At 35.1% G+C, this 12,255-nt stretch overlaps 1 pseudogene; it reads right to left on the reverse strand.

The window, feature by feature from the left end:
• Positions 9,129-11,751, reverse strand: LOC100129526 (protein tyrosine phosphatase receptor type D pseudogene; annotated as a pseudogene).

A 12,255-nucleotide genomic window follows, 5' to 3' on the forward strand; every position in this document is an offset into this window, starting at 1 on the left:
TCCTATTTAGCTTTGGCTAGAAGAAAACACCTTCCCTAGAAATCTTGCTATAACTACATGATTTTAGTAAGAGTAATAGGAACATAATAGGAATGTAAATTCTGACCAATATAATATAGCAGAAGTATGTGGCTTAAGGCAAGTCATTTGGAGCCAGACTGCCTGGGTACAGATTCCAGCCTGAACACATAAATGCTATGTTACTTTCAGCAAGTTACATAAGTGTTACAAGCTTCAGTGTCCTGGCCTGTAAATTAAGGACGATATTAGTAACTATCTCACATAAATTATTGTACAGATTAAATAATTATTTTAAAATACTTGGAAAACTGATGGATTTGTGAAAACTTTTTATAAAAATTAGCTACAAATGTTTGAATTAATTGCTTTTTAATAGCTTTATTGAGTTGTAATTTATGTACCATAAAATTCACCCATTTAAAGTGTGTAAGTCAATGAGTTTTAGTAAATTCACAGGGTTTTGTAACCATCACCTCAACCTAATCTTAGAATTTTTTTTTTTACTCAAAAAGAAAGCTCATACATATTAGAATTCAATCCTTATTTCCACCCAATCTGCTTCTCAGATCTAAATAAACACTAATCTTTTTGTCTCTACTGATTTCCCTATTCTGAAGATTTCATATAAATACAATTATATGTATGTGTTCTTTGTATCTGGCTTCTTTCACTTAGCGTAATGCTTTCTAATGCTTTCAAGGTTTGTCCATGTTGTAGCATGTATCAGAACCTCATTCATTGTTATGGCTAAATATTATATTGTATAAATATACCACATTGCATTTACTTATTTTTCTGTTGGTGAATATTTTAGTCTGCATTTTGGCTATTATAAAAATGATACTATGAGAATTTTTCATAAGGATGTATAAGTTTTTGTATGAATATATGCTTTTGTTATGTTTTTGTGTGTCTTGGCTATATATGTAGTAAAATTGCTAGGTTTTATGGTAACTATACTTTTTTTTTTTTTTTTTTTTTTTTTTTGAGATAGAGTCTCGCCCTGAAACCCAGGCTGGAGTGCAATGCTACAATCTCGGCTCACTGCAACCTCCACCTCCCGGGTACAAATGATTCTCCTGTCTCAGCCTCCTAAGTAGCTGGGATTACAGGTGCCTGCCACCACACCCAGCTAATTTTTATATTTTTAAGAGAGACGGGGTTTCACCATATTGGCCAGGCTGGGCTAACTATACCTTTAACATTTTGAAAAACTGCCAACTGTTTGCCAAAGCAGCTGCACAGTTTTACATTTCCAGATCTTTTACCCATTTTAACAATTGAGTTGTCTCATTACTGTTCAATTATTAGAGAGTTGTAGATTCTTGATACAACTTGATTAGATAAATGATTGCAAATATTTACTCTCATTCTATGGGTTGTTTTTATTTTTTTGATGGTGTTCTTTGAAACCCAAATATTTTTAATGTTGATGATGTTCAATTCATCTTTCTGATGTATTGTAAAGAATTAGTTTCACTACCTTAAAAGTACGCTATGCTTTATCTATGTCCTTCCCTTCCTATCTCCAAAACCCTAGGAACCACCCATCTTATTTCTGTACTATTTTGCCTTTTCAAGAATGTTGAAAACATACAGTAAGTAGCTTTTTCATATTGACTTCTTTCACTTAGAAATTTGCTTTTATGATTTCTCTGTTTTTTTTTAATCCTTCATGTCTTATTTCTTTTTATTACTGAACAGTACAGTTTGCTTATAAATTCACCTACTTATGGACAATTTGGTTGATTCCAAGTTCTGGTAATTATGAATAAGGTTGCTACAGACATGTGCTGGTTTTGTGTGGCCAAAATTTTCAGTTTATTTAGGTACATCTGAAGAAGCACAATAGCTGGATCATATGGTAAGAGCTTGTTTAATTTTGTAAAATACTGCCAAATTTTTTCAAAGTGACTATACCATTTTGCATTCCCATCAGCAATGAATGATAGGTCCTGTTGCCCTACATCCTCACCAGCATTTGGTGTTGTCAGTGTTTTGAGTTTTAGCTTTTCTAATAGGTAATATTTTGTTGTCGATGTTGTTTTAATTTGCAGTTCCCTAACGACATATGATGTTGAGTATTTTTTTATATGCCATTCACTATCTGTGTATCTTCTTTTGTAAGATATCCACTCAATTTTTTTTCCTTTTTAAAATTGGATTGAGTTTTTTTTTATGTTTAAGAGTTTTGCATATATTGGATATCAGTCCTTTTATTTTATCTTATTTTATTAATTTATTTTTTTGACAGAGTCTTGCTCTGTCGCCCAGGCTGGAATGCAGTGGTGCTATCTTGGCTCACTGCACACTTCACCTCCCAGGTTCATGCCATTCTCCTGCCTCAGCCTCCCAAGTAGCTGGAACTACAGGTGCCTGCTACCACGCCTGACTAATTTTTTGTATTTTTAGTAGAGACAGGGTTTCACCATGTTAGCCAGGATGGTTTCAATCTCCTGAGCTCATGATCCGCCCGCTTTGGACTCCCAAAATGCTGGGATTACAGGCATGAGCCACCACGCTGGGCCGGATACCAGTCCTTTATCACGTTTTTGCAAATATTTTATCCGTCAGTAGTTTATTTTCTCATTCTCTTAACAGTGTCTTTCACAGAGCAGAAATTTTCTAATACACCTAGATTTTCTTTTATGTTATGTTTCACAGATTTTATAGTTTCACCTTTAACATTTAGGTCTATGACCTCTTTCGAGTTTTTATTTATTTATTTATTTTGTGAAAGTTACAAGGTAAGTGTCTAAGTTCTTTTCTTTGTATAAGGATGTCAAATTGTTCCATCAACTATCCTTTATTTATTGAAATATCTTGGATTCTTTGTCAAAGATCAGTTGACTATGTTTGTATGAGTGGATCTATTTCTGGGCTTTCTATTCTTTCCTGCTGATTGATTTATTTTTTACCAATGGTATTATTTTGCCAATATCACACACTATTGGTATTGGTAAGATACCATTTTATTACTGTAACTTCACAGTAAGTCTCAAAATCAACTAATGTCAATATTCCAAATTTGTTCTTCCTTTTCAGTAGTGTGTTGACCATTTTAGGGTCTTTTGCCTTTCTCTATAAACATTTTAATCAATTTGTTGATATCTACATGTTAAGTTACCGGGAGTCAAACTGTGTTGAATCTAGAGATCAAGTAGCAGAGAATTTACATCTTAACAATATTGAGTATTCTTACATATACATGAGCATGAAATAGCTCTTCATTTACTTGGGTCTTTTAAAATTTTCTTTAGTTTTGCAATTTTCCTCATATAGGTGCTGTACATATTTTGTTAGATTTATACATAATTTGGTTTATTGGTAATGTCAACAGTATTGTTTTTAATTTCTTATTTCAATTATCAATTTCTGGTATATGGGCAATCTATTGACTTTTATATATTAACCTTGTAGCTAGCAACCTTGCTATAATTGCTTATTACTTCTGAGAGGTTTACTTGGTTGATTATTGATGACTTTCTACACAGAAAATGATGTCATCTGTGAACACAAATATTTTCCCCCCAACCTTTCTACCTTTTATTACCTATTATTTTCTTATTGTATTAGTTTTGACTTTCCATAAAATTGTGAGTAGGAGTGGCTAAGAGGGGATGCATCTTTGGCAGGAAGATTCTTAGGCAGAAAGCGCAACATTTACTATGATGTTAGCTGTAGGTTTTTAGTAGATATTATTTATCAGAAAGCAGAACTCCCTCTCCATTACTAGGTGTTTAAGGGTGTTATAATTTGTTGAAGAGTTTTTCTCTATTAATATAATATGATCATCTTAATTAGCTTGTTGATTGGATGAATTATATTAATTGATTTTCAAATGCTGAACCAGTATTGCATACTTAGATTTTTAAAATATATTGTTGGGTTTGATTTGGTAATATATTTTGAGAATTTTTTGCATCGTTGTTCATGAGATATGTTTGTCTGTGGTTCAGATATCTTTCAATATTTGTATCTGGTTTTGGTATTAAAGTAATGCTGTTTTCACAGAATAAATGTGAAAGTGTTTTGTATGCTTTTGTTTTGTAGATACCTAAACAACTGGAGTACACACTTTTAAAAAGGATTGTACAGAACTTGTATTTTTTCTTAAATATTGGGTAAAATTCACCAGTAAAATCATCTGAGCTTAGTGCTTACTTTTTTGGACGTTTATCAATTTCTTATTCAATTTCTTTAATATAGGCTGTTCAGATAAACTAGTTCTCCTTGTGCCAGTTTCCAGTTTCTCTCTTTCATGGAATGGGTCAGTTTTATGTAGGTTATCAAATTTGTGTGAGTATAGTTGTTCATAATATTCCCATATTAATCTTAAAATATCCACAGGATTATCTCTCATTTTTGATATTAGCAATTTATGTCTTCTCTTGTTTTGTCTTGATTTATATGCCTAGAAGTTTATCCCTTTGTTGAACTTTTTAAAGAAGCAGCTTTGGTCTTGTTGATTTGGCCCATTGACTTCATGTTCGAAATGTTAATGATTTTCCCTCTAACTTTTATTATTTCTGTCTCGTTGTTTTGGTTTTCCATTGCTCTTCTCCAGTTTATGAAGTTTAAATGATCAATTTTAGATCTTTCTTCTTTCCTATTATATGCACTTCATGCTATAAATTTTCCTCTAAGCACTGTTTTTGCTACATCTCACAAATTTTGATAAGTTGCATTTTCATCTTATTTGCTCAAAATATTTTAAAAATTTTCAAGACTTTTAAAATAACTTTATTTTAGGTTCATGGGTACACATGCAGGTTTGTTACATAGGTAAACTCGTGTCATGGGGGTTCAGTGTACAGGTTATTTCATCACCTAGCTACTAAATGTAGTACCTGATAGTTATTTTTCTGATTGTCTCCCTCCTTCTACTTTGCTCCCTCAAGTAGGTCCCAGTATCTGTTGTTCCTGTCTTTGTGCCCATTGCTTTTTATTATTTAGCTTCCCCTTAAAATTAAGAAAATGCAGCATTTGGTTTTCCTTTCCTGCATTAGTTTACTAAGGATAATGGCCTCTAGCTCCATCTATGTTGCTGCAAAGAACATAATCTTATTTTTTTTTTATGGCTGCATAGTATTTCAGGGTGTTATATGAAGCAGAAAAATGCAAAAAATAAAAACAAATTTCCTTTCTCCTTTGGCATAAGTAAACTTATGAGCTTATGGATTCCTGTTTTCTGTAACTAGTAACTTCGAGTATTCTGTTTTTCATCTAAGCAGCACAGTGAAGGTCATGAGATGCCTGAGCAGGCCTGGATTGCAGCCATCTAGGTGCCATAGTGAAGGTTATGAAATAAGCCCGTGCAAGGCACTTGAGCAAGCCTAGATAATAGCCACCTGGGCCGCATAGCAAGAGTCACATGTAACCCTGAGTTATGAACCTGTCACAGATTGATTAACTGTGTTTGTTCTTCCTCCGTACATTTGCTTTCATGCCACTATGCTTCACGCCACTGTAAGCTTGTTTCAAACTAGCCAACCCCCTTTTTGAAGTGTGTATAAGAGTCAAGTCCTGTCTTTGTTCTGGGACCAGTCGCTGGATGTTAATCCACTGGATGTGAGTGCACTCAGTAATGTCCTCCTATTCTACCTACTGGTCTCTCTAGTCCCCCAAATCCTGCAAAATACATGTACCACCTACATTTTCTTTACCCAGTCAAAAGGTAGCCCAAATAGCCAAGGCATTCCTAAGCAAAAATAACAAAGCTGGAGGCATCACATTACCTAACTTTATGCTACAGGACTACTGTAACCAAAACAACATGGTACTTGTACAAAAATAGACACATAGACCAATGGAACAGGATAGAGAACCCATAAATGAGACCACACATCAACAACTATCTGATCTTTGATAAACCTGATAAAAACAAGCATTCAGGAAAGGATTTATTTTTCAGTAAGTGGTGCTAGAATAACTGGTTATCCATATGCAAAAGATTGAAATTGGATCCTTTCCTAACACCATATACAAAAAATCAACTGAAGATAAATTAAAGACTTAAATGTCAAACCTCAAACTATAAAAACTCTGGAAGATAATCTAGGAAATACCATTCTGGGCATAGAAACTGTCAGAGACTTCTTATTTGACTCACGTGTTAATTTGCAGTGCTTTTTTATTCTCCAAATATTTGGCGATGTTTTTAGCTATCTTTATCTTGCTGATTTTTACTTGTTAATATCTTTCATGACTCAACATATACTTTGTCTAGCCGTATGTCCCATGTAAGCTTGAGATGAATGTATATACGACATTTATTGAATGAAAGATTCTATAAATGTCAAATAGATCTAGATACTCAATGGTGGTTTTCTGTAAACTGGATGAAGTTATTAATTAGAAACCTTAACATAACAACCCTAGTAGCTGTACATGTTAGAGACTTCAAAGTTTTTTGTGCTAGTTATTTTTTCTCCCCTCTTTTCTTTGGGTTTCGCTAGATACTCTCTCTTAATTAGAGACTGTGTATTAGGCACTTAATTAGAGATTGTGTATTACAGCTCTTGTAGCTAATTCACTGTTTGTATAGTGAAGTCTTATTGATCTGGTTGTAAGGTGATGGGGAGGGAAGCATTCTGTAATCTTATGATTAAATCCCATTCTTTTAGTGGTTATGAGTCATTGGGCTATGACCTTTGTGAGCATTTCTTAGCTTTTTAAAATCTCGTCTTATGTGAGAAAGGAAGACTAGGGGAGTTTGGAGTTGTTTAACTGACATTTTCCTAAGTCAGAAAGGTCCTATAGTGTAGGCCTTTGTTATGGAGAAGTCTCTAGAGATATTTCAAAATGGTTACTTCCTTCCCAAGTTTATTTCAAAACAGTGACTGTTCATTATTCCTGCCTGAAACAAGATAAATTATTCTCATACTTTCATTGTGAGTACCTACCTGGTGGGGCTACAGGAGGTTAAAATCATGAGAGTTCCGCCACAAGATTGGTACCCCAGGAGTTTTCAATTCTCAAGATTAAGTCCCCTTTTGAAAATATGATTTAATCCTTTATTATTGGATATCTTGGAGGTGCTATCCAATTGAAATTTACATTTTTGCCTCATTTTAATCCAGGGATAAATTGCTAGCAAATTTCCTCTCTAGTTGATTTTAAGAGGGCACACAGCACAGCCACCATAGATATCCATTCCTTCCTTGAGATTGCCAGGGAATAATATAATTTTTTTTTAAATCCTGGCATTCTGAGAATTATCCCTAGGACAGAGTAGCTCATTGTGTAGTAAGTTGTGTTTAATCTCTTTGTGCCAGTGTACTTCACTGTGTTGATGGGTCTGTGTATGCTTAAGAAATGTTTCTGATTCTTGATTTCTTGATCTGATTGTTTTGGAATGAGTATAGCTTAGCACACACTCACAGCCTTCCAAACCCCAGCATGAAGTGTGATTTCAGGAGGGCTCTTGTTGGCAATCTTTCTATAGTTTCCTCTATTTTACCTGTATCATATCCAATGCCTATAGGCGTGCAGTTCTCTATGCTCTTTTCAAATAAATTCAGTCCTGTCAATTCTTATGGCCTGCCTTTACCCTTAGCAGATCTCAGAGCTACTGCACTGGAACTAGCGTGGGGTGGGCAGGGGTGGGGGGCCTGGATTTTCCTGAAGTGATGCCTTCACATTATGAATGATCATGGGGTGTGGTCAAACTGAGAAGACCAGACCATACCTTCAGGTCTTCTCAGTTTGATTCTTTCCAGCATGGAACCACCACCCTATGAACATTCTGAGGCAAGGGCCATTGGAACCTGATTATTCTCAGATTGCTCTATGTAAAGTAGAGCTTCTACTCTATGAGTGGGCTGGTGGGAAGGTAGAGGCAGGGAGGCACCTGGTTGTTTTAGCTATGCTTGCATGAAATAGAACACCTGCAACACAGGGTGACAAGGCATTAGAAATCCTAACAACCTGCCCTACCCAGAGTGAAACCATAGCCCAAGAGTAGACAATGGTGAAGGGAGAGAGCCCCCATCTTCTAGGTCTCACTTGCAGGTTGTAGAATACCCAGGGCAAATTTTCTGTTATAGAGAACCTGGGGGAGCAGTGGGGATGGTAAAGGATTGGGTCATGGCTCAAATGCCACAGACTGTTGCCGTTCTTAGTGAGATTTAGTGCATTTTCTTGATGAAGATTTCTCCATTTGCTGTATCCCTTAGGAAAATTTCTAAAGACTTTAACTGATTGTTAGACAACTGCCTCGATTGCTTTTAATTATGATAAAATATATATAACATAAATCTTACTATCATAACCACTTTTAAGTGTACAGTTCAGTGATATTAAATACAACCAAAATCTTGTGTCACCTTTACCACTATTCATCTTCAGAACTTCCTTCATCTTGTAAAACTGAAACATTATACCCAATAAACAATAATTTTCCATTCCTCTCTTCCCCTAGTCCCTGAAAACAACCATTTTATTTTTATCTCTGTGGTAATTGACTACACTAAGGACCTCACATAAGTAGAATCATATAATATTTATCTTTTTGTAACTGGCCTATTTCACTTAGCATAATGTCCTCAAGGCTCATCCGTGTTGTAACACATGCCAGAATTTCCTTCCTTTTTCAGGCTGCATAGTATTCTACTGCATGTATATACTGCATTGTGCTTATCCCTGCATCCACAAATGAGTGCTTGGGTTGCCTCCAGATTTTAGCTGTTGTGAATAACACTGCTATGAACACGAGTGTGCAAATATCTCCTTGACACTTTCTTTTCAATTTTTTGAATATCGAATATATACCAAGAATAGAATACTGGATAATATAATTCTATTTTTAATTTTTTGAGGAACCACCAAACTGTTCTCCACAGTAGCTGTACCATTTCACATTCCCAACAACAAAGCACAAGGGTGTTGACACTATCTTGTCAACACTTGTTATTTTATAACTTTTTGGTAGTAGCCATGGTAATGGGTATATGATAGTATTTCATTGTAGTTTTGATTTGCATTTTCCAAATGTTTAATGGCATTGAGCATCGTTTCATCTGCTTACTGGCCATTTGTATATCTTCTTTGGATAAATGTATATTAAAATTTTTTGCCCATTTTAATTTTTACTATTTTTCATTTTCTGTGGTAAACAAAAAATGATTTAATAGAAAATAATAACAGATATGAAAAACTAATGAAAATATAAACAAAAATCTAAAAATAAATGCTATTAAAATATACATCAATTATAAGGCACTCTAAATGCAAAATTAAAACAAATAACAAACCAAAAAAAAAAAAAAAAATTACAGCTCTTCCCAGGAATGCTGTTTGCCACAAAATGTTTCTTACTGAGCAGAGTAACATGCGTTTTGCTTTGCCTGTGGTACATATCATAAATGCAAATTTCATAGCAGACACTAGAGACAATGTTTCATTGAATACACCTTTTAAAACAACTTAATTGCTGAAGTATTACAACATTCTTGCCTTCTAAAGGGATATTCACTGACCTTCCCACACTTATCAGATATTTAAAACTTTTTTTCTTTTTTTTTTTTTTTGAGAGGGAGTCTCACTCTGTCACCCAAGCTGGAGTGCAGTGGCGCAATCTCAGCTCGCTGCAACCTCCGCCTTCCGTTTTCAAGCAATTCTCCTGTCTCAGCCTCCCCTCCTGAGTACTTGAGACTACAGGTGCCTGCCAACATGCCTGGCTAATTTTTGTATTTTTAGTAGAGACGGGGTTTCACCTTGTTAGTCAGGCTGGTCTTGAACTCATGACCTCAGGTGATCCATCTGCCTTCACCTCCCAAAGTTCTGGGATTACAGGCATGAGCCACTGCACTCTGCCTAATAATGTTTTGTTGTACTAGAATGTTAGAAATATTGAACTTTGTTGGAAGCCTGGCCAACAAAATAGTATTTGTAAATATGATTGGGTGGCTGTGGGGAGAGGGATTAGGAAATTAGGGGGTGAGGTTTAACAATCACCAATGTGCACTTCTTATTTCCCTTAAAAAAATGAAGTTTCATAATATTAGGAAACACAAATGTGTCATAAAATTAAGAATTGGAGAAAATGTTTACAATAGCTTTTCTACATTTAAAAAATGAAATCATGGAAGAACTGACTGATAGCTGTGCCTATATTTTTTGTGTGGACACTCTATATATACACTGTGGATAAATATGTACATATGTTAGCAGCAACTTTATAATTTGTACCTCCCTATTGATTCCAAAATCAAACCAAAATAAAATTCTTTTTATTTTAAGAGAATGGATACTCTCTTACCAATCAAAACTGTACAGAAGTGAAAAATAATATCTGATCAGACATACTGTAGATTAAATTATTGCATAAAATATGCAAAATTTCAAATTATTTGATATTTCTAGAGCAATATATTACAGATAACAGTTCTACAGCTTAAAATTCTACAATCTGGAAATAAAAAATAAAGAATTATGTAACTTTTTAAAAATTCACTTTATTGAATCATACATTTTGTTGAAAAAAAAGTTTACAAAGTTCAAAATGAAGCACAGCAGACCTTTACAATACTAAAAAAATTAGTTCAGGAACACTCTTTTCAAACATTCCCACAGCCTTTCGCCTAAAATCTTATGAACAGTATGGCGGGAGGGGTGATGTCAAAGCAGAGTCCATTTCATTGTAAGGAGCCACCACACCAGCACACATCTTGCCGCGCTCAGGCAATTTCCCCTCACTCCTATCAAGCAATCCTGAACAAGGTGGTTGTTCATTACTATGATTTCTTCTGTCCTTGATTTTGAATCCTTGAGGTATCAGTAAATAAAAACTCACAGATGCCTTGTCAGTCAGGATTCAAGTTAGGTTATTAAAGTGTGAAATCTTTCTCCACTGGAATGATTTGTTTTAATTTTGTGCATGTGTGTTATAGTCCCACTAAGTAGTTGTTAGTTAAAAGTTAAGAAGGACTTCTCAAGTGTCCTGCACGGTGCAGAAGAGACTCCATGGATATTGAAGGACTATAGTAAAAATCCAGAATGGGTCAGGGATTTCTACATTGTATATTGATCAAAGCTGCCCAGTTTCTCTAGCACAACTCAATAGAAAAACCAATTCTCATTCTCTGTTTGTACCATGGCTGGCCATTGTGTTCTGTATGTTTTGATGGTCTGGAAGATATCTACAACTCTTTCACATCTCATTATTTCCAAAACAATGCTTAATATTATGAAGATTTTACTCCTTCCAAGCTCACATTACAGTGAACTGAACTGGGTCCATCTTGACCACAGTACTCTTTTGTTTTATGCACTTGGCCAATTAAGTCAATAAATCTTTTTCCAGACTTTGGCACTTTTTAATCTGGGCAGTCAGTGAACTGGAGCTGTCTCACTGTTCAGGACTGGCTGTCCTTGGCATCTATGACTTTAAATTCCCTTGTGATAAACTATGGCATGTTGTACTCAGCCACAGGATCTACAACAAAGTACTGGTATCTTGTGGATTATTCTGCTGGCCAGTATTGGTGACATTTTTCTCTGCCCATTTCACACAGCTTGGTGAAATTGTGTTTCCAGAGCATCCACTGGAAGTCCTCAGTGATCTCTTTCAAGGGTCCCTAATGTAAGCTTTCTATTGTCTTTACTCATCAATAAAACTGGCATTAATGTAACCAGATACTTCTACTCCATGGATAGGCTGCAAGTACAACCTTGTGGATTTATATGGTGTAATATTAACAAGGTGATTTTTGAAATTATTGCATGGAAACACAGAGCCAAATCATGAGTGAACTCCCATTCACAATTGCTTCAAAGAGAATACAATACCTAGGAATCCAACTTACAAGGGATGTGAAGGACCTCTTCAAGGAGAACTACAAACCACTGCTCAACAAAATAAAAGAGGATACAAACAAGTGGAAGAACATTCAATGCTCATGGATAGGAAGAATCAATATTGTGAAAATGGCCATACTACTGAAAGTAATTTATAGATTCAATGCCATCCCCATCAAGGTACCAATGACTTTCTTCACAGAATTGGAAAAAACTACTTTAAAGTTCATATGGAACCAAAAAAGAGCCCACATTGCCATGTCAATCCTAAGCCAAAAGAACAAAGCTGGAGGCATCACGCTACCTGACTTCAAACTATACCACAAGGCTACAGTAACCAAAACAGCATGGTACTGGTACCAAAACAGAGATATAGACCAATAGAACAGAGCAGAGCCCTCAGAAATAATGCCACACATCTACAACCATCTGATC

The sequence above is a fragment of the Homo sapiens genome, chromosome 5 (assembly GCF_000001405.40).
Source record: "Homo sapiens chromosome 5, GRCh38.p14 Primary Assembly".
In the NCBI taxonomy this organism is placed as follows: Eukaryota; Metazoa; Chordata; class Mammalia; order Primates; family Hominidae; genus Homo; species Homo sapiens.